We start from the raw sequence: 26,316 nt of genomic DNA on the forward strand, positions 1-26,316 counted from the left end.
TTTCACCATGTTGCCCAGGCTGGTCTTAAATTCCTGGGCTCAAGCTATCCACCTGCCTCAGCCTCCCAGAGTGATGGGATTACAGGTGTGAGCTACCGTGCCTGCCTCATAAATCATTGTTTATTTTTGCCTTTGGTCTTCCATCATTCCAGGCAGGTAACCACATTGCTGCTTGAAGTTCCTCTTACCAGGAAGGGAACTGTCTTTCAGGGCCACTTCCGGGCAGAGGTCTAATTCCATAGCAGCCTACTTCTTGCCAGCACCAGTATATATTCCAAAATCATCTGTAAATCAGGCTTGAATTTTTCCTCCTCAATTAACCAATGATACTGAATCATGAAGTCATATACATGGATTAAGGGAAGGGAGCCAGTGTACAGCATGAACTGATGCATTGGAAGAGTGAGCCACTGTGCTTTAAGGGTCTACTTCAGATGAAACTCAGTTTTTGCTTTCACTGGATGATGAAGCACAGGTCATGCCCAACTTTACCCTATAGTGGATTAGAGAAGAAGCACCCTGTTTGTGATGAGTAATCAGGCTGATTAATCATTTAGTGTCCTATGGCCATGTGAATAGTCTTTATCAGGTGAAGATTGAGGAGAGAATGTCTTTGTGATAAAATCCAAAGGGGCTTTGATGTGATTGTCTTGTTTAGAGCTGCCCCAGATTTCTACACAGCATTCTAAATTCACCATGAATACCTTAATCACCATTGTATCCTCTGGGACTCAAGGACCAGGTACTTTCATTGCAGCCGGGACCAGCTGACAGCTTCTCTTACTCTAAGCCTTACTCAACATGAATGGCATTATCAGTTACTTGGTAAAGAGGCCAGAGCAGTACACCCAATGATGGCACACATTAACTCCAAATGAAAACAATCCCACCAAGTGTTGTGTATTTCTCAAAGTAGATTTGCAAGGTGCATCAAGATATCTTTCCTTTTGGAGGGAATATCCTGATGTGACTCAAATAATTAGGATCCCAGAAACTTTACTGAGGTGACAGGACTGTGCACTTTTATGAGATGTATCTACCACTCTTTGGCACACATGACACCTGCCCACCAAGATAGTGAAAGTGTACTGCTGTCCTCGTTAGTGAAAGTAGGCTATTTCTAGTATTCTCAGCTTATAGGTAGAGAAAAAGTGCATTTATAAGATCAATAACTATATAAAATATGTGATATTTTGTTGATTTGATCCAGTGAAGAGATCATAGCTACAATTGTCAACTCTTCCTGATGTCTCCTAGAGCTTGTAATGCCAAGACCTATTTGTCTTTAGCAAAAGTCAATGTCAAGTTCAATGTAGATAAGATGGGGATTACTACTTTCATTTATTTCAAGTATTTTAAACTCTTTCAAGCACCAGTTTCTATGATTCTTCCAGGAATGCAGCATTGCTTTTGATTTGCTGTTTTGATTGTGAGGGACCTTCTACTTGACGCTTTCTACCATAATAACAGTTACTACTTGAATTAGGGTGTTAATGCTAGAATTCTACCAGCTGCTGAGTATACTATCCCAATTCTATACTCTGGAATCAGGGGAGTAAACATAGGTGGGTTTTTAAGTGTCAAGACCCCTTGTGAGATGGACTTAAGATCAACTCTATTTATGACCTGACCCCTATAAGTTAAATTCCACTAGTAATAATAATGTTTTGGGATCTCAGAGATTCGTAGCAGCCCAGAGCTGCCAGTGTCCACTAATCCCTGAAAGTTATTTCTCCTCCCCCAGTGCACAGTTTTCTCAGTAAGTAACACAGGCTCTTTTTGGGAAAAGATAGGAGCTCTAGATTTGAAACAGTATTATGGTGAGGGGTCATGACCATTGGGGTGTCTTAAATCAGACTCCATATACCAATTCAAGGGACAGACTCAACAAAGAATTATCCTGCATCCTGCGTAAGATTCAATGTTCTCCCAGATATGACTCTGTGTGAAAAATCTGTATAATGATCTGAACCTAGAACTTAACACCATTTACTATATAACAGAAAAGCATTTTTGGAAGGTTTTAATATACACTAAATTTTCTGTAATGCAAGAATTATGTGCATACAGCTATTACTATGTTTTGTTTAAAACTTTATCAAGAGTTGTTTCATCATTTTGGAAAAATCGCATCACTGACTGCAATACTGCCTGCAAAATTTTATCTTCAAAACAACAGATCTGTATAAGTCTGCATATGGAGTTGTTGTAGTCATAGTGATTCCACATATATATGCAAACACATGGCTACTTTGCTGTGTCTTCTAGTAGAGTTGTGCCTAAGAATTCATATGTAGAAATACTAATACTTTCCTTTTATTTCTTCTCTATGTTATAATTAGAATATTAATGTTGATTTAAACAAAGGTATAGGTAGGTCATATTAACTATGAATTTCATTTGAGAATAATAAAAGTTGTGTTGTAAAAAATTATCAAAAAGGGGGCGTTAGGTCCACAGGGTTGAGAATCACTGTTTCATATAATACCAAGGAATTTCTCTTATCTCCACTTAACTCAGCTTAAGACACTGTTAAATCCTAGCCAACAATTATAACTATTCTCAGCTGCTTGAGTTAGCTCACTGATTCCAGAATTTCTCATAGACACATGCCAATTGAGAAATTCAGCCTAGTCTAAAATTATGTGCCCGCCTCCTGATCTAACACCCTTAGAATCCATTGCCACACATATTCACCAGGGTTTGGACGATAAAATTAGCACTTAGAAAAAGCCAGCCCACCTGACAGTTTTTGACTGCTTTTGCCCTCACTTAAGATATATTGCAGCAGACATGATGTCTCCTAGAGCCTTGCCTTCAATGGACACTTCCTTCAAAGTAATCACAGGTGGTAATTTAAGTGTTTTGTCACTAGGTGCTTGGACTACCAATGTCTCATCCTTTTTTCATTATTGTTTGCTGATACTATTTCATAGAGAATATGTCTTCTGGAATTTTATGGAGAAGGCAAAAAAAAGAAAGAAATTTTCTTCTGAATAATGCTCTAGATGATTTTCTGAAGTATGTTTCATCTCACTCTCTTCTTTTGGATTGTCAGTCCACAAATGTTTAGCTAATGTCCAGAATCTACTATGTGCTGGACATTAGCTTGGTGTGGGAGGCAATAAGCCTGGCAATGTCCCTGCTCAAATGGCTTTTAAAAATACTGTTCCTGGCCGGGCATGGTGGCTCACGCCTGTAATCTCAGCACTTTCGAAGGCCGAGGCAGGCGGGTCACAAGGTCAGGAGATTGAGACCATCCTGGCCAACATGGTGAAACCCTGTCTCTACTAAAAATACAAAAATTAGCTGGGCGTAGTGGCATGCACCTATAGTCCCAGCAACTTGAGAGGTTGAGGCAGGAGGATCTCTTGAACCTGAGAGGTGGAGGTTGCAGTGAGCCGAGATCACGACACTGCACACCAGCCTGGTGATAAAGCAAGACTCCATCTCAAAAAAAAAAAAAAAATACTGTTCCTTTCTTCTTGTTCTGCAGAATTGTTTCCATAGTCCACACGTAATTTTTATCTCTTTCCTCATTTCTCCCTGAGATGAAATCTTTCCAGACTTTATGTCTGTCTTTGTCAGTAACAGTGACATTTGAGTAGATCTGATATCTAATTCTGGGTTATGCCTAAGTGCCTTCTAATGTAATTCAAAGAGAATGTATCTACGATGTGAAGAACATTGTGCTGAGGGCTGGGCATGGTGGCTCACCGTGGCTCACAGAAGCAGATGAGGTGGAACATCTAATCCCAGCACTTTGGGAGGCTGAAGCAGGAGGATGGCTTGAGCCCAGGAGATCAAGACCAGCCTGGGCAACACAGTGAGACCTGTCTCTACACAAAATTTTAAAAATGAACTAAGTGTGGTGATGCACCCTGTGGTCCTAGCTACTTGGGGGGCTTAGGTGGGGAAACATTGCTTCAGTCCAGGAAGTCAAGGCTGCAGTGAGCCAGACGGTGTCTCAAGAAAAACAAAAACAAAAACAAAACAAACAAAAAAACCACTGTGCTAAGAGGTGTGGCAGATAATAATATATAATAATAGCTAACACTGAATGCTAAATAAATGCCAATCACTTTTAAGTACTTTGCATGTACAACTTGGTTAGTCCTCAATCACTCTATGAGGTGTTGCTGTTATTACCTGTATTCCCATTTTACAAATGAAAGAATGGAGGCATTAATAGTGACTAAGAAGCTTGCTCAAGGTCACACACCAGTAATTAAATACAGGTAGTCTGGATCCAAGACCAACTCTCTTAACTACTTCCTTGTGATAAATAAGATATTAAGTTGAAAAACATGCCTTGCCTCAAACAACTTGCCATCAAGGGAATGCTGAGGAAATTACTAAAACTTAACCAGTTGTGAAAAGAGTCAACCAAGAGTCTTGAAGTTTTTTAGAACAGCTAGCTCAGGTAAGCTTTCTGTTTATTTTTTTCTTTCTCTCTTTCACTTTTTTTTTCTCTAGTGATTCACTTGACAATTCATTGTGGAATCGTGCTTCTGTATTTTCACCTTTTGATCTTACTGCTTCTCTTTTCTACTAAAATGGAGAATTTCTTAAAGATAGGAACTATATATTATTTCTCTTTTTATCTTTAGCCCGTAGCATATAATAGAGGACCACTCAATATAAAGACTCAATAAATTATTATATTCAAAGAAATGACAGTAATTATTCATAATTAGTATCTATGAATACATTGCACCTAGGGGCACTATAGTATTTTAGAGCTTTTGATTGAGTAAGTCCCAAAACTACTCTGGTAAGAGAGTTAAACATTATTATCCATGTTTCACAATCAACGGCTTAATTGTCAAAAGGTCAAGTGGCTTACTACGAGTTAGTCAGTAGGGGAAAAAAGAGAATCTAGGAGTTTTTTGTTTTTTTTTTTACAAAAAAAAAGAAAGGAAAAAGATTTCCTCAAAGTTAAATTAATGCACATAAGAATATCAAAAAATACAGCAAAGATACTTTGTCAAAACCAAGCAACACTTAAACACAAAACATTAATTTATGTTAACTTTATGTAAGTAAGTTATTTTGAAAGTCAACTCTAAAGATTATGTTCAGAAACTTCTATTTATGCTATTTTTGTTTTCTACACATTATTTTAGTAATAAGGGCTATATCCTCCCATGAGATCTACAGGGCGGATATTAGATAAGCCACAGATGAGTTAACTTGTTTTGGCTTGAATGAGGAAATGTGGCAGCTCCAGATGCTTCCATGCTCCGAGCACATCGGATCCAGTAGGCAAGAGAAACTGGGCTAAGACTCAAAGAAGGGAGGTGCTTTTAGCTAATAACAAAGTCTACTCTTCCAGTGTTTCTGTAGGCAAGGATTTTTTTTTAAGAAAAATATTATTACAACATAGTTATAGATTCGTTCTTGGTAAACAAACTTCAACAAAGGATGATCCAAAAGGCTTGAATTTCTAGCTGCAGAAAGAGTTATTTTTACTCTTCAGTCTGTTCCCGTGACTTTTTTCCCTACCTTTGTTAATGGCTTCACCATCCATTGAACTGACCAAGCTAGAAACCTCAAATTTATTCTCCACAGCTCCTTCTCCCTCACCCTCTTTTGCTACTGGTTTTAGTTTTACTCATTCGCCCATTCTGTCATCTAAGTAGATATATTTATTATATCTACTTATATATCTACTATATCTACATGTATAACACATCTGTTATAACCTCCATGGCCTCTTCTAAAGGTTGAGCCTCTCACCTCTCTGGACTATATGACCATCTCCTAGATGGTTTTACTGCCCCTGATAAAGTTATTTATTTGCCTAAAAACCACCAATGGCTCACCCTCATCTACAGATCAGAATACAACCTCTTTAGCATATCTGCGCTCTCCCCAATCTGTATAATCACCTATTTTCTTCTACTTCCCTGAAAACCTCTACTCTGTCAGTTTCTTCTCACCATTCCCCAGACATCTCCAGCATATCCAGCTCTTACATATTTCAGTGTTTTTGTATGTGATGTTCCTTTAACTTGCAGTCCTTCCTCTGCCTTCATTACATGACCAATCCTAAGGCTTCCTTTACTCCCAGCACAAATGTGGCCTCTCTCTCTGAAAGATGTCTTGACTCCTCAAATAATTAACTACTCCCATTTCATATTTGTGGCAGAGATTCTTGCTCCTCATTGAATAGAGTCTTTTGATGCTGCACATTTGCCAGCTCCTTTCCAGTGCGGTAAGGCCATGTGACTTCTTCTGGTCAAAGGGCTGTGAGTGGAAGTGAGATGCGCCACTTCTGATCCAAAACACCTAAGAGTTGGTGCATGACCCTCCAACTCTCTCTTCTCTTGGCAAGTGTAAAGGTCTTGTGATGGGATGGTAAAACCACAAGATGGAAATGGCCTAAACAGACCACATGTAGGGAGCTGCTCTGGGAAGTCCTCTGATCCTGCATTAGGCTTCATGTAAGCAAGAAATAAACTTTTGTTGGTTAAGTCACTGAACTTTGGGGTTTATTCACTACCGCAGTGTAAACTCCCCTAACCAGCCTAACTCAACATCCTACATATCTCTATTTAGCCTTTTGTTTTACAAAACTATAATAATGGATATTATTCTGTATTGTTAACCCCAAGGTCAGGCACTACACCTTATTTAGCATCTAACACAGTATTATAAAGAAAATTGAACTTGAAAACTGGACTCTGCATCTTCAAACTTAATTTCCAAACCTGTTCTCCTTCCAGTGCTTCTAATCTCAGTAAATGGCATCATCACTAACCCAGTCACTCAATCCAGAATATAGAAGTATATTTCTTACGTCTTTTCAAGCTTCTAAAGCCAGAAAATACCTTGGAGGTTCTTATTCTACCTCCCAAGTATATCTTAAGTTTGCCATGTTTCTCCATTCTCTCATTCATCACTTTCTACCTCTTACTGGAGTGGTAGCCACCAGCTTTCTTTATATTTATATATATATATATACACACACACACACACACACACATATAGAGACATATATGTATATACACACACACACACATGCACATATATAAGCTTTCTTTTTATACACACATATGTAACATTATTAGGTAAATATATATGTATATTAACTTCAATAGCTTTTGGGGTATAAGTGGTTTTTGGTGACACAGATGAATTGTATAGGGGTGAAGTCTGAGATTTTAGTGCACCTGTCACCCGAGTAGTGTACATTAAACCCAATATGTAGTTTTTTCTTAAATCCCTCTTTCCACTCCCACTCATTCCCTTTCTGAGTCTTCAAAGTCCATTATACCACCCAGTATGCCTTTGGGTACCCATAGCTTAGCTCCTATTTATAAGTGGGAACATGCAGTATTTGGTTTTCCACTCCTGAGTTACTTCACTTAGAATAATGGCCTCCCGCTCCACCCAATTCATTGCAAAAGACGTAATTGTGTTCCTTTTTATGGCTGAGTAGTATTCCATGGTGTATACAGACCACATTTTCTTTATTCATTCATTGGTTGATGGGCACTTAGGTTGGTTCCATATCTTTGCAATTGTGAATTGTGCTGCGATAAACATATGTGTGCAGTGTCTTTTCGATGTGACTTCTTTTCCTTTGGGTAGATACCCAGGATTGGAATTGCTGGATTGAATGGTAGGTCTACTTTTAGTTCTTTAAGAAATCTCCATACTGTTTTCCATGGAGGTTGTACTAATTTACATTCCCACTAGCAGTGTATAAGCATTCCCTTTTCATCACACCCATGTCAACATTTATTGTTTTTTAACTTTTTTTTTTTCTGCTGGGTGCGGTGGCACACTCCTGTAATCCTAGCACTTTGGGAGGCCGAGGCGGGCAGATCACGAGGTCAGGAGATCGAGACCATCCTGGCTAACACGGTGAAACCCCGTCTCTACTAAAAATACAAAAAATTAGCTGGGCGTGGTGGTGGGCACCTGTAGTCCCAGCTACTTGGGAGGCTGAGGCAGGAGAATGGCGTGAACCCGGGAGGTGGAGCTTGCAGTGAGCCGAGATTGTGCCACTGCACTCCAGCCTGGGCAACAGAGCAAGACTCTGTCTCAAAAAAAAAAAAAAGAAAGAAAACTTTGTTTTTGTTGTTGAGATGGAATGTCACTCTGTAGCCCAGACTGGAGTGCAATGGTGAGATCTCAGTGCACTGCAACCTCCATCTTCTGGGTTCAAGCGATTCTCCTGCCTCAGCCTCCCGAGTAGCTGAGATTACAGGTGTGCGCCACCATGCCTAGCTAATTTTTGTATTTTTAGCAGAGACGGGGTTTCACCATTTTGGCCAGGCTGATCTCAAACTCCTGACCTCAGGTGATCCGCCCGCCTTGGCCTCCCAAAGTGCTGGGATTACAGGCGTGAGCCACTGTGCCTGACCAGTTTTTTAGCTTTTTAATAATGATCATTCTGGCTGGGGTAAGGTGGTATCTCATTGTGGTTTTAATATGCATTTCTGTGATTAGCGATGTTAATAACTTTTTCATATGTTTGTTGACCATTTATACATCTTCTTTTGAGAAGTGTCTATGCATGTCATTTGCCCAATTTTTGATGGGATTATTTGTTTTTTTCTTGCCGATTTGTTTGAGTTCCTTGTAGATTCTGGATATTAGTCCTTTGTTGGATGCACAGTTTGCAAATATTTTCTCTCATTCTGTGAGTTGTCTGTTTAATCTGATAATTGTTTCTTTTGCTGACCAGCTGTCTAAATAGCTCTCTTCTATTACTTCTTTGTGATTCATTTTTTTTTGCAATAAGATAAATGTTTTTTTAAAATTTACAAATATGATCATATTATTTCCATGCTTAAATAATTACCAGTTGTTTAGCATTTAGTATTCCTTTCAATAATTTCCAGTAGTGGCTGTATTTCTTATATCATATGCCATCTTACTTTATTTTAATTGTTTATTTAAATTTTTGTCCTCCTCATTAAATTTCAAGTGTGTTCAGGGCATAGCATAGCCCTGTCTTGCCTATTCACTGCTATATTTCCAGCTTCTGACACAAAACAGGCAGTAAATAAGTATTTGTTGAATGAATGAATGAATGAATACAGGGAAAATAGTATATAGTCAATAGGAGTTTACTGAATAGATAAGCAACCACATATCTTCAAGCAGGTATGAATTTTTCCATACATTCTGAAATATTTTATCAGCATATATTTTTACTTGCAACACTCTTTCCTTTCCTTTATGCTAGCCCACAATCCTTGCAACCTTTAAAATTCTAATTCATGGCTGATTTATTCACTCATTCATTGGGGGTGGAAGCCCTTTGCATATTAATTCATACCCGCTTTATACATTTGAGTTATATAATATGACTTAAGCTTTTGTTATTTTGTAAATGTGCTTGAATAATTTTTACACTTATATACTCTATCTTCTAGACTAAATTATAGATTCCCCTACAGTTGAAACCACGATCCCTATTTGTTTGGAAACTCTTCCCTCTCCTCATACCTGTAACCTCCAGGTACTTAGCATGGTGTTCTGCATTTAGAGATCACTGATTTTATTGAAGGATTGGCAAGAGTTAGCTTGTAAGAGTGAAAGCTGGATGGGAGAAATTCTCAACAGACAGATACTGGAATGGATCCTGGCTTTGCCTGGAGGGAGAAATGAACTTTGGGGAGGCTTCTAAGGCTTGAGTCAGAGGTACAAGGTGTTTGGTGTTCATTGTCTTAATTTTGCTGGGCTCTATCCCAAGATTCATTTTTTTTTAACAACTCAGTCAATCATACTTTCATGTATATATGTATGTATATATGTATGTATTTATTTATTTAAGACAGAGTCTCACTCTGTCACCCAGGCTGAAGTGCAGTGACAGGATCTCAGCTCACTGCAACCTCCACCTCCCAGGCTCAAGCAACTTTTCTGCTTTAGTCTCCGGAGTAGGAGGGACTACAGGCATGTGCCACCACACCCAGCTAATTTTTGTATTTTTAGTATAGACAGGGTTTCGCCATGTTGGCCAGCCTGGCCTCAAACTCCTGACCTCAGGTGATCTGCCTGCCTCAGTCTCCCAAAGTAACAACTCAGTCAATCATACTTAACAGGACTTTGATATATGTAAGACACATTAAAAACAAAAATGGAGAAGAAAAATAAGTTTCTCTAATGTTCTTTTAAATTGTATTGAAAACCCACAATATCCGAGGTAAATTGCATTTACTTATTAGAAATAAGTTAATGTTAAGATTTGATTTATCTGGCCGGGCGCAGTGGCTCACACTTGTAATTCCAGCACTTTGGGAGGCCAAGGTGGGCGGATCACCTGAGATCAGGAGTTCAAGACCAGCCTGGCCAACATGGTAAAACTAGTCTCTACTAAAAACACAAAAATTAGCTGGGTGTGGTGGCATGCAACTGTAATCCCAGCTACTTGGGAGGCTGAGGCAAGAGAATTGCTTGAATCCAGGAGGCAGACGTTGCAGTGAGCCAAGATCGTGCCACTGCACTCTAGCCTGGGCGACAGAGGGAGACTTCGTCTCAAAAAAAAAAAAAAAAAATTGGTCTTTAACTTCAGGTAATCTGGAATATAAGAAACATACTATCTGAATGAAGTCAGGCATACCTGCAGATGTATTCTTTGTATGTCACTGGTCATGGCCCTGTTCTGCTGCTAAGAGGGACTCCTTGCTTGGCAGTTCTGCTGTGGCAGTGGGAAACACTCCATTCTCTGTAGCCTCAGTGCTGCCATGTAACTATATAACTAAGGATGGTGCATAAGACCAATCAAGGGGACAGCCTGATGACAATGATTCTTTCATGTGCTCAAGAGACATTGATATGATGTCTTTTTTTTTTTTTTGAGACGGAGTATCGCTCTGTCAGGCTGGAGTGCTGTGGCGTGATCTCAGCTCACTGCAACCTCTGACTCCCTGGTTCAAGCGATTCTCCTGCCTCAGCCTCCTGAGTAGCTGGCATTACAGGCACGCACCACCACGCCCAGCTAATTTTTTGTATTTTTAGTAGAGACGGAGTTTCATCTTGTTGGCCAGGATGGTCTTGATCTCCTGACCTCGTGATCTGCCTGCCTCGGCCTCTCAAAGTGCTGGGATTACAGGCATTAGCCACCTTGCCCGGCCCTTTTTTTTTTTTTTTTAATTTTTAAATTGAGATAGGAGTCTTACTGTGTCACCCAGTCTGGACAATGGCATGATCTCGGCTCACTGCAACCTCTGCCTCCCGGGTTCAAGCAATTCTCTCACCTCAGCCTCCTGAGTAGCTGGGACTAAAGGCATGCACCACCATGCCAGCTAATTTTTGTATTTTTAGTAGGGATGGAATTTCACCATGTTGGCCAGGCTGGTCTTGTTCTCCTGACCTCAGGTGATCCGCCTGCCATGGCCTCCCAAAGTGCTGGGATTACAGGCATGAGCCACCATACCCAGCATGATGTCTTTATAATGAGTGTCTTAAGAAGGAAGTTCCAGCATAAGAAATATTCCAGTATTTCAGAATAATGGTAAAGCTATCCTGTTGCTTAAAATGATCCTATACACAAAATAAGGGAAAAGTACTATTCTTAGTTTGTACACCTAATCTCCATGAAAATGTTCAAATGTCATACACATTGGGCAAAGAAAATCCATTCTTATAATTACTAAAATTAAATATCAAATACATAAAATTATAGCATTTCAGAGCTGAAATATACCTTAGAGCTATAGGCACACAGGATTTTGGCATTTTGTTGTTGTGATTAATTACTTGAACTTTACTGAGTTACTAAGGAGCTACTTTTAATGGCGTATTTTAGAGGGCAGTGATTACTGGATTATGACAAACTTTGGCATTTTAGGATATAACTTACTTTTACTTTTAGTTTCCACACTGATTTAGAAAAAAAGCGGGCTCATCTTTTGTACACACAAAGGGTCACAATCTCTGAGATGTTGCTGGTTCATTTTGTGTCTACTGAAATCTGGAAGGTAGTTTTTAACAATTGTATTAGTCAGTTTGGGCTGCCACATCAAGTACCATAGACTGGGTGGTTTAAACACGGAAACATATTTTCTCACAGTTCTGGAGGCTGGAAGTCTAAGATAAGGGTGCCAGCCAATTGGATTCCTGGTGAGGGCTCTCTTCCTGGTTTGTAGACAGCCTCCTTTTTACTGTGTCCTCACATGGTGGAGAGAGCCAGCTCTCCGGTGCCTCATTTTATAAGGGCACTAATCTCATCAAAATAGGGCCCCTCCCTCATGGCCCCATCTATCGGGGAATCTGTCCCGATATTCACGTAGGTTCTTTTCTATTTTCCTTAAGCATCAGCCAGCTTGAGAAATAAAGGCATAGAGTACAAAAGAGAGAAATTTAAAAGCTGGGCATCCAGGGGAGACATCACATGTCGGTAGGTTCCGTGCTGCCCCACAAGCTGCAAAAACCAGCAAGTTTTTATTAGGGATTTTCAAAGGGAGGGAGTGTGTGAATAGGTGTGGGTCACAGACATCAAGTACTTTACAAGGTAATAGAATATCACAAGGCAAATGGAGGCAGGGCGAGATCACAGGACCACAGGACCGAGGCGAAATTAAAATTGCTAATGAAGTTTCGGGCACCATTGTCATTGATAACATCTTATCAGGAGACAGGGTTTTGAGATCAACCGGTCTGACCAAAACTTATTAGGCGGGAATTTCCTCTTCCTAATAAGCCTGGGAGCGCTATGGGAGACGGGTCTATTTCACCCCTGCAGTCTCGACAATAAGAGATGGGCATGCCCAGGGGGGCCAGTTCAGAGACCCACCCCCAGGCGTATATTCTCTTTCCCAGGGATGTTCCTTGCTGAGAAAAAGAATTCAGCGATATTTCTCCCATTTGCTTTTGAAAGAAGAGAAATATGGCTCTGTTCCGCCCGGCTCACCAGCGGTCAGAGTTTAAGGTTATCTCTCTTATTCCCTGAACAATCGCTGTTATCCTGTTCTTTTTTCAAGGTGCCCAGATTTCATATTGCTCAAACACACATGCTGTACAATTTATGCAGTTAATGCAATTATCACATGGTCCTGAGGAGACATACATCTTCCTCAGCTGACAGGATTAAGAGATTAAAGTAAAGACAGGCATAGGAAATCACAAGGGTATTGACTGGGGAAGTGATAAGTGTCCATGAAATCTTTACAATTTATGCTTAGAGATTGCAGTAAAGACAGGCATAAGAAATAATAAAAGTATCAATTTGGGGAACTAATACATGTCCATGAAATCTTCACAATCCACGTTCTTCTGCCATGGCTTCAGCCAGTCCCTCTGTTTGGGGTCCCTGACTTCCCGCAACACCCATCTAACCCTAATTGTCACCCAAAATCTCCCTCTCACAAATACCATCACATTAGGAGTTGGGGCTTTGATGTATGAATTTTGGAGGGGACAGAAACATTCAGTCCATAACAATAATTTGAAGTTCTTTTTTTTTTCTTGAAGCACTTCTGGCTGTTGGTTATTGCCATGGTGCCAATTTCCAGGGAGTTACTTTTATCTATCTATTTATTTATTTTTTGAGACAGAATCTCACTCTGTAACCCAGGCTGGAGTGCAGTGGCACAATCTTGGCTCACTGCAACCTCTGCCTCCCCGGTTCAAGCGGTTCTCCTACCTCAGCCTCCTGAGTGAGTAGCTGCGATTACAGGCACGCACCACCATGCCCAGCTAATATTTGTATTATTAGTAGAGAAGGGGTTTCACCATGTTGGCCAGGCTGATCTCAAACTCCTGGCCTCAAGTGATCTGCCCACCTCGACCTCCCAAACTGCTGGGATTACAGGCATGAGTTCCCGGTCACGGAGTTACTTTTAAAAATATTTTGCTGATTATCATGTCCCCAAATTTAGCAATTTGCTTTGATCTTGCTGAATGTTCATGGGCTGTTTATTTTGTGAAACACTAAGAAGAATTCTTTGAGGGTGATCATTTTATTTTTGGGCTTAAAGTTTCAAAACCTTTGAAATATTTTTTGTTTACTTGCCTTATGTAGTGATTATACTGAATTCCTGCTTTATAGGCTGGATTATTTTCTTCGCTAAAGCTGCAATGATGTCACAGAATTCTTTTCTATTCAGATTGTCCTTTCCACAACTCATTCCAGAATAAGTGATCAATGCTTCCATTAGCACAAATGTTCAGATGCTATTAAAAATAAGACAAGGGTGCTTTATGCCTGAAAAATTCTGTGGATGCTCGTATAAACTGGACATCCAAAAAGTCATCCAGCTCTTTGAATGAAAATGTCATTCTTGTATTCAGTGAGTTCTCTGATGTCAAGTTACTTCCTGGAATGACCTTTCCATAAATTCAGTTTGAGTCAGTAGCAATCCTTGCTTTGGAAAAGCATATCCTGTGTGGATAACAAATGGATATAGTAAACATACACCAAAGACAAGAGGTGAAAGGTTAGTAGGAAATTATCATTACCGCAGTAAAAAAATGATTGGATAAAGGATTTAAAGTCTTATACCTGGCACACTAACATTTTAAAATTTTTTCAAAAACTAAAAAAGAAATTTTTTGAGACAGGGTCTCACTCTGTTGCCCAGGCTGGAGTGCAGTGGCACAACCTTGGCTCACTGCAACCTTTGCTTCCCAGGCTCAAGCAATCCTCCCACGTTAGCCTTCCGAGTAGCTGAGACTACAGGCATGCGCCACTATGCCCAGCTATTTTTTTTTTTTTTTGTATTTTTAGTAGAGACTGGGTCTTGCCATGTTGCCCAGGCTGGTCTCAAATTCCTGGACTCATGTGATCCACCCAATTCGGCCTCCCAAAGTGCTAGGATTACAGGTGTGAGCCACTTTCCATTACAATTGAAGGACTGTATAATTTGCTGAACAGTTTTTAAAATGTGATGTTTGGGGAGAGGATTCTTTGGCTTTGCTGCCAGTAAGCTTACTTGAGTATGGCCATCCTGTCTCTGGACTTGGATAAAAATGGACCCTTTTTTCCTTCCCGTGGAACTAACATTGAATAAGCCTTGTCTCCGCAGCATATTTATGAAGTCCTTGAGTGGTTTAACATTAAAGTTTAAGTTTTAACTTTAATAATTCAGATTGCAGCCATGGAAGAAATAATCTGTGTGCATAAATTAATGGAAATTGAATTTTTATTTCCCTGAGCTGATCTTATCTACAACAGTGATTCATTTTTGCCACAGAATACAAACTGAGAATACATGTATTTTTGTTTAATGATATTTATCAACATTATTGTTTGTAGGTTATTTCTATTATGCCTATAAATTATGTTTTTACATTTTAGAAATTCAAAAAAACTTTATGAAGATATTATTTATTAGCAAAACATCCATTCAAAGATTAATGTTTTGTTATTTTGGACATAGATATCAAACCTAGGTGAATGTTAATTTGTGACTGATAGTATGACAACATACACATGAACCGATGTTTGACACTTGCTGTGTCTTTGATAAGTCAATATAATTTGAGAGGCAGTATTATGTAATGGTGAAGACAGAGACTGCAGCCAGACTGCCCGTGTCTGAATCTCAGCTCTGCCACTTATTAGCAGTATAATCCTAAGTTACTAAATCTTCCTATGCCTCTGTTTTCTCACTTATAAAATGGGATGATACTAAAACTATATATCTCATAGGATTATTGCAATGATTAAATAAGTTAACATACACTGAGCACTTAAAATGTCATTGCTACAAACTCCAAATAAGTATTTGTTATTGTTGTACATAAGGGGTAAGAACATTGACTCTAATGTCAGACATCCCCAGTTTGAATCCAGCCTTCACCAGCAGCTGAATGACCTTGGAGAAGCTACTTAAAATCACGGCACTTTAGTTTCTTCATCTGAAAATGGGGATAATAACAAATACGAGCACTAACTAAAATAATAGAGACAAAAGTCATAGAAGAGTGCCCAACATACAGTAAGTGGTGAGTGAATATTAGCAATGGGTATTATTTTCACATTAGAGAGACTAAATTATATATATGTCTCCTAAATATCAAACACAGTGTGAAATGATAAGTATGCTGTCAAATGAAAAATATTATTTCCTGTTTCACTAGCTTGGAGAATAACTTAAGGTCACATATTTTTAGTAGTAATATGACTCCAAATATCTATCCTGCTTATTATAAGAATGTCTTTCCTTTTTTAGGTCCCCATATCATGGTAAGTCCAGGAACCAGGGGTTGCTACTCAATTTCAAGGCATTGATTCTGATTATTCTTTTTTGCCACTGAAAGACCATTGCTACTTCTATAGTAGCTCCTCAGAGTAGTGGGTCAGACAGGTTCTGGTGCCAGCCCTCCTTTTCCAATTTGTTCAAACCACTGAGTCTTTCTTCTCATCTCTCTAAAGCACAGCTAGGACAGACTCCATGATCCATGCAAGGAAGAAAATCGAGTCCCAGTTATTTACTTTTAAATAACAATATATAGTAATAACAAACAGTATACTAAGAAAGATAACTAGAAAATCTCCTAATGTTTGGAAATTAAGCAACACATATAAGTAACCTATGGGCTAAAATAGAAATTGCAACCAAAATTAGAAAATATTTTGAACTGAAATAATAATAATAATAATAAGCCACATCAAAAGTCATGAGATGTGGCCAGGTGCAGTAGCTCATGCCTGTAATCCCAGCACCTTGGGAGGCTGAGGTGGGCAGATCACTTTGAGGCCAGGAGTTTGAGACCAGCCTGGCCAACATGGTGAGACCTTGTCTCTACTAAAAATACAAAAAATTAGCCAGGCATGGTGGCACGCACCTATAATCCCAGCTACTTGGGAGGCTGAGGCATGAGAATTGCTTGAACCTGGGAGGTGGAGGTTGCAGTGAGCTGAGATCGTGCCACTGCACTCCACCCTGGAGGACAGAGAGAGACTCTCTGTCAAAAAAAAAAAAAAAAAAGTAATGAGATGCAGCTAAAGTGGTGTTTAGAGGGAACTCTATATCCTTTAGCATGTGTTAGGAAAAAATGGCTGAAATTCATTATCTAGGATTTCATCTCAATAGGTTAGAATATGACATCCATTGTTTAGCTCCCACTTATAGGTGAGTACGTGTGGTATTTGATTTTCTGTTTCTGCATTAATTCACTAGGATAATGGCCTCTAGTTGCATCCACGCTGCTGCAGAGGACATGATTTTGTTCTTTTTTTATGGTTGTGTAGTATTCCATAGTGTACACACACCATATTTTCTTTATCCAATCCATCGTTAATGGACACTTAGGTTGATTTCATGCCTTTACTATCATGATTAGTGCTGTGATAAACATACTAGTGCAGAAGACTTTTTGATAAAAGTATTTATTTTCCTTCGGGTGGATACCCAGTAGTGGGATTTCTGGGTTGCATGGTAGTTCTATTTTTAATTCTTTGAGAAATCTCCATAATATGTTCTATGGAGATTTAACTAACTTACATTCCCATCAACACTTTTGCTTATGTTTGAATTTTTTCATAATAAAAATTTCAAAAGGAGAAACACTATTAAAGAGGGAAAAGACAAACCACAAAGAAGACATTTGCAACACATAGCACCAGAAAAGGGGACTATATCCAAAACATGTAAAGAATCCCTACAAATCAATAAGAAAGAGAAAGACAACTCAATAGAATAATTAGCAAAAACATAAAGTGGCACAAAACAAGATACCCAAATGGTTAATAAATACATGAAAAGGAGGCCAGTTGAATTAGTAATCAAGGAATTAGAAATTAAACCCACAAATTATATAGTACACATCCAATAATACACATAATTTATCTTTTGTGAAAATATGTATATAAACTGGAGTTAGAGTACCTCAAGTTCTGTGCCAATATCAAAATAACATTAGCCTAGAACAGCTACAATTTAAAACACTCGAAAATACCAAGTATGGTTGAGGATGTGGTGAAACAGCAACTCTTTTTTTTTTTTGAGACGGAGTCTCGCTCTTTCGCCCAGGTCGTACTGCAGTGGCGCTATCTCGGCTCACTGCAAGCTCCGCCTCCCGGGTTCACGCCATTCTCCTGCCTCAGCCTCCCAAGCAGCTGGGACTACAGGCGCCCGCTACCGCGCCCTGCTAATTTTTTGTATTTTTAGTAGAGACGGGGTTCCACCATGTTAGCCAAGATGGTCTCGATCTCCTGACCTCCTGATCTGCCCGTCTTGGCCTCCCAAAGTGCTGGGATTACAGGTGTGAGCCACCGCGCCCGGCCGAAACAGCAACTGTTGTATGCAGCTGATTGGAGCGAATATTGGTACAATTAATTTGGAAAACAGTTTGGTAGTGTCTACCAAATTTGAATATATGCCTACCCCTATGACCCAACAATTCCACTCCTAGGTATATACCCACCAAAAATGTGTGTGTGTAAAAAACGTGTCTGCAAAAGACAAGTAAGAATGTTGATAATAACATAGTAACATTCTTCAGAATAGTTTCAAACTAGAAACTACTGAAATGTCCAACAACAGTAAAATGAATAAATAATTTGTAGTGTATTTATACAATATTATAGCATACAACAAAGAAAAATAAGGAATTTTTGCACATACATCAATTGACGTCAAAACCTAATATTGACCAAAAGAAGCCATTCCCACGCAATGTACAATGGACAGGGCTTTGGGGTTAGGGTAATATTTCATTTCTAGACCTGGGTAGTGATCACAGATGCATGCGCTTTGTGATTCCCTCATCCGACTTTCAAACTATACCCTTGGATCTTGTGTATTTTTCCATATCTACGCTGAATTTCAATAAAAGATGTCTATTACAACAAATGAATGATATGAACTAGGAGAGAGTTCTGATAAATGAAAAAGCCATTTTAGTGCATAGAATTATGGGGGAAATGTTTTAAAATCTTGCTTTAATTTGGTTGTTACAATAAACACAATTTGGGTGGGAAGAAAAAGTAATTAACATTTGCTCAAATACAGACATAAACTAGAGATGGAGGCTGTTAAGTTCTGTGCCAGGACCATAATAATTTCAGCTGGAATTTTTTTTTAAAGCTGGTGTTATAACATTCCACCACAGCCCAAAAAAGAATCTTACTCAAAGAGCTGTGAACTTCTAATTTTGAACAATATAACTTCCAGGTACACCCTCCAAAAAAATCTGTTGCAATATATACCAACGTAGTGGAATGAGGTAATAAACTATTTAATATAAGGCAATTAAATTCTGGGGGAAACTACCAATAATAATAGTTTTGGTTTTAAAAGAATTACTTGGTCGGGCGCGGTGGCTCACGCCTGTAGTCCCAGCACTTTGGGAAGCTGAAGGGGGTGGATCACGAGGTCAGGTGTTTAAGATCAGCCTGGCCAAGATGGTGAAACCCCGACTCTACTAAAAACTACAAAAATTAGCTGGGCACGGTGGCAGGTGCCCAGCTATTCAGGAGGCTGAGGCAGGAGAACTGCTTGAACCTGGGCAGCAGAGATTGCAGTGAGCCAAGATCGCGCCACTGCACTCCAGCCTGGGTGACACAGTGAGACTCCATCTCAAAAAAAAAAAAAAAAATTACCCTTTCTTTCTAAGAGTAATCAGTTGATCCTGTCAGGGTCAACAACTTATTAAGGAAATTCTGAGTTCCCATGACAAAAACATGTTATCTACATATAAAAGATTATTTATCTCTATTCTTTATAGTGGGATACAGTTCGCATTTGGTTAGTGGAATAATAAGATTTTTGAGATTTGAAGTTCTCTCTTTTCTTCATGGGAAAATTTTGGGTAGGGGTGAGGTTGGTCTTTGCTACTCATTTTTGGAAATACTTCCTTTTTTATTGTACTTGTATATTGTTATAAATAAAATTCTGGTTTAAATATTATGAATTATGGATGTGTCCTTTTGTCTCTCTTTTAAAACTAGTATCATGATATAAAGATAGTTTGCATTGGATGCATGGGTAAAAACAGGGGAACCCTTATACACTGCTGGTAGGAATGTAAACAAGTACAGTCATTATGGAGAACAGTATTGAAGTTCTTCAGAGAACTACAAATAGAACTATCATATGATCTGGCAATCCCACTACTGGATATATATTCAAAGAAAGGAAATCAGTACACCAAAGATACATCTGTTCCCTAAGTTTACTGCAACATTACTCACAACAGCTAAGATATGGAATCTACCTACCTGTCCATCAACAGATGAATGAATAAAGAAAATGTGGTATACACAGACAGTCACACACAATGGAATACTATTCAATCATTAAAAAGAATGAAATTCTGTCATTCATAGCAACATGGATGAGCCTAGAGGACATTATGTTAAGTGAAATAAGCCAGGAACAGAAAGACAAATACCACATGTTCTCACTCATATGTGGAAGCTAAAAAAGTTAATCTTGTAGAAGTAGAGAGCAGAATAGTGGTTACTAGAGGCTGGGAAAGGTAGTTGGGATGGGGGATAGATGCAGATTGGTTAAAATATATAAAATTACAGCTAGTTAGGAGAAATAAATTCTAGTGTTCCATATAGCACTATAGGCTGACTGTAGTTAAAAATAATTTATTATATATTTTTAAATAGCTAGAGGAGAGGCTATTGAATGTTCTTAACACAAAGAAATGATGACTGGGCACTATGGCTCACACCCATAATCCCAGCCCTTTGGGAGGCCAAGGCAGGAGGATCGCTTGAGCCCAGAAGTTCAAGACCAGCCTGGGCAACAAGGTAAGACCACATCTTTACTAAAATTAAAAAAAAATTGGTTGGGCATGGTGGCCCATGCCTGCGGTCCCAGCTACTCGGGAGGCTGAGGAGGGAGGATTGCTTGAGCCCTGGAGTTGGAGGCTGCAGTGAGCCGTGTTTGCGCCACTGCACTCCAGGGTGGGTGACTTAAAAAAAAAGATAGATGTTTGAGGTGACATACATGCAAATCACCCTCATTTGATGAATATACACTGTACGTATCAAAACATCATTATGTACTCCATAAATATGTATGATTATTATTAGAAAAGTAAATCTTTTTTCAAAACAAAGGAGTTTTGGCAATTCTGTTAAAAAAAAAAAGAATTGGGTGCATGGGGCTGGGTGGGAAGGAAGGGTTTTACCTCATACAAGAGGAATCCTGTCTTTACCTGAGCTCGCCACGAAAGATACCTTATCTTGTTTTGCTTGGATTTGTACCAAGGACCTAGGCAGGATCTATAAACCTAACACAAAGCATCATGTGTAGTCATTGTAACTTTGAAGAGGGATATTGTCATTCTCTTCCAGTATCACATTAATTTTTACCTAATTTTAAATTCTTATTTGATAACCTAAAAACCCTGGAAATGTGAGAATGCTCTTCCCTTATCCTCTTTCCTATCATGACGTTGACATAACAGAAAAGGAAACAGCATTGGTCAGGGAGCCAGAAAGAGCAGGTTCCTGGCCTGACTTTCCTCCTACTTGTCTACAGAGGTTACTTAATCTCTTTGAGCCTTAATTTCTTCAGCTCTGCATAGGTGATAACATTCTTTGCTTCAGTGTAATTTTGAAAAGTGTAACATAGAATGTAAATATAGGCTAACATTGTCAATCATTATTAATAATTATTATGTTTAGGTTGCATTTCTAAATATAAAAAGATAAAGCATATAGTATAGTGATGCTTAGGCTTGGGAAGAATACAAGGAAATGAGGTCAGAAAGAATAAGGACTGGAAAAATAAACGCATTGGTAATTATAAAAATATAAAAAATGACAAAGTTGCAATGGAAAGGTCAATGCAAACTTTTAAATTATTTTTCTAATTATATCACACATTCTAAATCCTGCTGTAGTAGACATCCGTTGTTTTTTCTGCCTTATAACCTGCCCTCTTCTGGTAACAGCAAGCTTTCCTTTCAATTGCTTTTCCCACATTCCATGGTTTTCTGTTGGGCTGCCAAACACCACACACATGGTATTCTATTTACCTAGCTTTGGGGGTATGCCAGGTGACCAAAGCCAAGCCAATCAACATCCTTCCTTGAAATTATTTATATAGATTATGAAGGGAGAAATCTCTTTTCTCTGGAGTTTCACATTTTTTTTCTTTAATTGGAGCTCTCTTGCCCATACAATAAACAATAAACAATTACATTTCCTCATCCTGCCTTTGTTGCTGCATAGAGACACTGATGATTGGGCACTAAGATCATCTTTTGAGGGACCTGAATAAAGTTTTCCCCATCCGTTCACATTTTTCTTCTAAGTACCATGTCTGGTAGATAATGAAACTCCCCTCCCCCTCCCCCTCCCCCCTCCATCCCTCCTTTTTCTCTCTGTCTTTCAGATAATAGAATTCCTCTCTCTTTCTTTCTTTCTTTTCTTTTTTTTTTTGAGACAGGTTCTCACTCTGTCGCCCAGGCTGGATGGAGTACAGTGGCGCAATCTCGCTCATTGCAACCTCTGCCTCCTGGGTTCAGGCAATTCTCCTGCCTCAGCCTCCCGAGTAGCTGGGATTACAGGCATGGACACAACGCCGGGATGATTTTTTTCCTTTGAGACAGAGTCTTGCTCTGTCGCCCAGGCTAGAGTGCAGTGGCGCGATCTTGGCTCACTGCAACCTCCGCCTCCCTGGTTCAAGGATTCTCCTGCCTCAGCTGCCCAAGTAGCTGGGATTACAGGCACGCGCCACCACGCCTAGCTAATTTTTTTATTTTTTTAGTAGAGTTGGGGTTTCACCATGTTGGCTAGGCTGGTCTAGAACTCTTTACTTCAAGTAATCCACCCGCCTCGGCCTTCCAAAGTGCTGGGATTACAGGCGTGAGCCAACGACCCCAGCCGGCCCGGCTAATTTTTGTAATTTTAGTAGTGTCAGGGTTTCACCATATTGGTTAGGCTGGTCTCGAACTCCTGGCCTCAAGTAATCCCCTGCCTCGGCTTCCCAAAGTGCTGGAATTACAGGCGTGAGCCACCGCGCCCGGCTGATAATGAAATGTCTAAGCACTTAAGAACGTGCATTCAAAAGACTGGAGTTTTTTGAAAAACAGGGTAACCTGCAGTAAAAGAAATTCTTACACACTTTCACTTTTTTTCTTTAAATACTGTCTAGTAGACTGTGGCATCTCTAGGTGGCTAAAATAATTTGTCGATAACATCAAACATCTGGTTAGTGTTCAAATTTCTCAAATTGTCTTAAAAATTTTGTTTTAACCGTTGATTTGTTTGAATCAAGATCCAAATAACGGAGCAAAATTTTTATCATCAAGCCCACTGGCTGGTTACACTTTACCTCTTTTCAAAATAGATGTTTGTCACTGTGACACATTTCCATAAGCAAGAGAATTGAGAGATTAATTCAAGGTCTCTTTATGTGCTTTACAAATATCAGATAAGCTCTGGTAATTAAGTTACGGAAAATTCGCATAAGTAATATCTTGATGTTAGTCTTGGACATTAGGACTCAAAAGGCAGCAATGACAAACCCATTTATGTTGATTTCACAGCCTTTGGGGGTCTCCTTGTCTTTATTTTGATTGTTGGAAATAGAGACCCACGCTTTGGCCACTATATAACAAAGTACTAAAAATGTATAATAATGCAAATTCACTAATATGTTTATTAAAATATAAACAAGTTTATTACAAATCTGTAGCTTTATTCACAACTAACATCCTTATTTTTGTCCTATATGCCCACGTTTGTCCTCAAGTACAACGAAGGACTGAGAGAGCATATAATCCCCTCTAGGTGTAAATGAACGTATTTATTTCGCTTCAACTCATGTATGAAAGGATTAAAAAATTATTAGTCCCCACAACTTAATTCTCCCAAAGAGAAGGTGCCAAGAATGAGGCACCTTTAGCCATGCATAATCTCCACCCATCTCATCAAATAAACGGAACAGTGATGAACATAACTTGCTAAGTAAGCTCAGCCGTGTAACAAGACCCTAGATTCCCCTCCCTTCTTCATCCTACCAGAACATTATCCTTAAGGTTTTCCTAATCAGCAGTCTGCGTCTAACTAACCCTAACTATCCAGAGTCACCTAACATATACTTATTTCCTTGTTTCAGATTCCCATTACGCCTATCTTAATGGGACAACTGGGTCCGAAATTATGCATGTGTTTTTTTGTTTTGTTTTTGCGGTGTACTTATTATCCGCACTTTATCATTAAATTCCTGAAAAGCTAGAACAAAACAAATCCGTGTCATTCACTATGTGCATCCTCTCTGCTTGGGGACGCCAAGGGTTTCAAGCTGCTGCCTCCCTGCCCTGGTCTCTGCTTGCCGTATCCAGCACTGGGTAAGCGCCCAGGTTCTGCTCCGGGACTAAAACTCATGATCTTCTGGCTCAGGTTCTGTGAACTGAGTCATTCTGGCACTGAGAATATTCCGTGACTCAGCAGGCCCGAAAAGGAGGATGTCAGAATCCACATAATTTCGAGTCTTTTAAAGGCAAGCCGAGGAACACAAACAACACAGTGGAAGAATTTCGCAGTGGGTCGTGCGTACCCAAGGGAAAAATTCATTCCATTCCCAGCCTTTTCACTTCCTTCCTTGCCCCGGTAAAACGACTGGTTACACTTTAAATCAGCGGCAGGAAATCGCTTCACGAAACTCATCTGGCTGCTGCGACCAGGCCCTTCTGATTCTCCAGGGACCGTGTCGGCCCCATGAACGCCCCGGGACCTCTGTTCGGGAGGGGCTGGAGCGGGGCCCCGGGCAGCAGCGGGCGCTCCCGGTTCGGACCCACACCTGGCCGGGCGGGGACCCTCTTGCCGCAGCCCAAATTGGCGCGAGGCCCCAGGGACGACCCCGAGCGACCTCCTGACCCGGCATCGCCCCTCTAAGGCGCCCTCCCCCGACTCCTCCCGCAATCCGGAGTCTCCCAGGCCGCGGAGCCCAAGGACCCCAGCGACTCCCGCGCGGGGAGCGGGTCTGCGAGGCCGCCCTTCCCTCCCGGCATGCACCACCCAGCCGCCCTCCCCTCCCCTCCTCTCCTCTCCCCTCCCCTCCTCTCCCCTCCTCTCCCCTCCCCTCCCCCAACCCCCTCCCCCGGCTCCCCGCCCACCTCGCGCGCCCCTCCCCCCGGGTCGCGCGCCGCGGGCCCGAGCGCGAGACGCCGCTGCTCCCGCCCCCGCCGCCTCCTGGAGTCGCCGGGGCGGACGCGCAGTCCATGGGGCGCGGTGGGCCGGGGAGTTGCCCCAGGGGCCGCGGGAGTTGCTGAGAGGAGACAGGGTTGGGCTTTCTCCTCGCCCAGACCCCACCCCACCCTGCCGACCCCACCCCCTGCTCCTTCCTCCCCGGGGGCGCGCACTCGGGCACGCGCTCGGAAGTCGGGGGTCGGCGCGGAGTGCAGGCTGCTCCCGGGGTAGGTGAGGGAAGCGCGGAGGCGGCGCGCGGGGGCAGTGGTCGGCGAGCAGCGCGGTCCTCGCTAGGGGCGCCCACCCGTCAGTCTCTCCGGCGCGAGCCGCCGCCACCGCCCGCGCCGGAGTCAGGCCCCTGGGCCCCCAGGCTCAAGCAGCGAAGCGGCCTCCGGGGGACGCCGCTAGGCGAGAGGAACGCGCCGGTGCCCTTGCCTTCGCCGTGACCCAGCGTGCGGGCGGCGGGATGAGAGGGAGCCATCGGGCCGCGCCGGCCCTGCGGCCCCGGGGGCGGCTCTGGCCCGTGCTGGCCGTGCTGGCGGCGGCCGCCGCGGCGGGCTGTGCCCAGGCAGCCATGGACGAGTGCACGGACGAGGGCGGGCGGCCGCAGCGCTGCATGCCCGAGTTCGTCAACGCCGCCTTCAACGTGACTGTGGTGGCCACCAACACGTGTGGGACTCCGCCCGAGGAATACTGTGTGCAGACCGGGGTGACCGGGGTCACCAAGTCCTGTCACCTGTGCGACGCCGGGCAGCCCCACCTGCAGCACGGGGCAGCCTTCCTGACCGACTACAACAACCAGGCCGACACCACCTGGTGGCAAAGCCAGACCATGCTGGCCGGGGTGCAGTACCCCAGCTCCATCAACCTCACGCTGCACCTGGGTAAGCGGTGACAGCCCCGTCCCCTGCTACTGCTCGCCAGCAGCCCAGCTCCCGGACCGGCTCCGTCCCAGTGGCCGGCCTCACGGGCGCAGACGGCCGCGTGTTTGCTCTCTGTTCCCCGGCATGGGCCACACAGAAACTCCTTTCTCCAACTTCTTAAATAGATACTGCTTTTAACATCCCGTGAGGGCCAGGATGTTCCGCACGAGTCTCTCTGCTTTCCTGTTCTTTCTGACTTAACGGGATTCTGGCTCTCTGATTATTCTGCATTTCGGCTGTTAGGATTGTGATTTCCCCCTTTTTTTTCTGAAGCGTTAATCAGAAACTCCCATCCCCACTTTTCTCTTTGCTAGCAAGGTCATCACA

At 41.4% G+C, this 26,316-nt stretch overlaps 1 protein-coding gene across 1 annotated transcript in view, besides 10 other annotated features; it reads left to right on the plus strand.

Annotated features, from left to right (window-relative positions):
* Positions 22,696-23,195: an enhancer, noted in NCBI's record as "H3K4me1 hESC enhancer chr1:182990015-182990514 (GRCh37/hg19 assembly coordinates)". NCBI's record gives its function as "activates a minimal SCP1, AML or CMV promoter by ChIP-STARR-seq in naive H9 embryonic stem cells {active_cell/tissue: H9 hESC(naive)}" and the evidence as "EXISTENCE:reporter gene assay evidence [ECO:0000049][PMID:30033119]".
* Positions 23,933-24,488: an enhancer, noted in NCBI's record as "H3K27ac hESC enhancer chr1:182991252-182991807 (GRCh37/hg19 assembly coordinates)". NCBI's record gives its function as "activates a minimal SCP1, AML or CMV promoter by ChIP-STARR-seq in naive H9 embryonic stem cells {active_cell/tissue: H9 hESC(naive)}" and the evidence as "EXISTENCE:reporter gene assay evidence [ECO:0000049][PMID:30033119]".
* Positions 24,489-25,043: an enhancer, noted in NCBI's record as "H3K27ac hESC enhancer chr1:182991808-182992362 (GRCh37/hg19 assembly coordinates)". NCBI's record gives its function as "activates a minimal SCP1, AML or CMV promoter by ChIP-STARR-seq in naive H9 embryonic stem cells {active_cell/tissue: H9 hESC(naive)}" and the evidence as "EXISTENCE:reporter gene assay evidence [ECO:0000049][PMID:30033119]".
* Positions 24,489-25,364: a biological region, named in NCBI's record as "H3K27ac hESC enhancer GRCh37_chr1:182991808-182992362".
* Positions 24,555-24,944: a silencer, noted in NCBI's record as "silent region_1623". NCBI's record gives its function as "represses an Ori minimal core promoter by ATAC-STARR-seq in GM12878 lymphoblastoid cells {active_cell/tissue: GM12878}" and the evidence as "EXISTENCE:reporter gene assay evidence [ECO:0000049][PMID:35858748]".
* Positions 24,975-25,364: a silencer, noted in NCBI's record as "silent region_1624". NCBI's record gives its function as "represses an Ori minimal core promoter by ATAC-STARR-seq in GM12878 lymphoblastoid cells {active_cell/tissue: GM12878}" and the evidence as "EXISTENCE:reporter gene assay evidence [ECO:0000049][PMID:35858748]".
* The window catches only part of LAMC1 (laminin subunit gamma 1), a 122,173-nt gene continuing 121,092 nt past the window's right edge, over positions 25,236-26,316 (plus strand). The window contains exon 1 of the mRNA NM_002293.4: positions 25,236-25,950. Within this exon, the coding sequence (NP_002284.3) occupies positions 25,533-25,950 (418 nt within the window). The 5' untranslated portion in view covers positions 25,236-25,532. The remainder of the gene's footprint in view (positions 25,951-26,316) is intronic.
* Positions 25,415-25,484: a silencer, noted in NCBI's record as "silent region_1625". NCBI's record gives its function as "represses an Ori minimal core promoter by ATAC-STARR-seq in GM12878 lymphoblastoid cells {active_cell/tissue: GM12878}" and the evidence as "EXISTENCE:reporter gene assay evidence [ECO:0000049][PMID:35858748]".
* Positions 25,505-25,644: a silencer, noted in NCBI's record as "silent region_1626". NCBI's record gives its function as "represses an Ori minimal core promoter by ATAC-STARR-seq in GM12878 lymphoblastoid cells {active_cell/tissue: GM12878}" and the evidence as "EXISTENCE:reporter gene assay evidence [ECO:0000049][PMID:35858748]".
* Positions 25,505-26,152: a biological region, named in NCBI's record as "H3K27ac hESC enhancer GRCh37_chr1:182992918-182993471".
* Positions 25,599-26,152: an enhancer, noted in NCBI's record as "H3K27ac hESC enhancer chr1:182992918-182993471 (GRCh37/hg19 assembly coordinates)". NCBI's record gives its function as "activates a minimal SCP1, AML or CMV promoter by ChIP-STARR-seq in naive H9 embryonic stem cells {active_cell/tissue: H9 hESC(naive)}" and the evidence as "EXISTENCE:reporter gene assay evidence [ECO:0000049][PMID:30033119]".

This window comes from Homo sapiens, chromosome 1 (assembly GCF_000001405.40).
Source record: "Homo sapiens chromosome 1, GRCh38.p14 Primary Assembly".
Taxonomy (NCBI): Eukaryota; Metazoa; Chordata; class Mammalia; order Primates; family Hominidae; genus Homo; species Homo sapiens.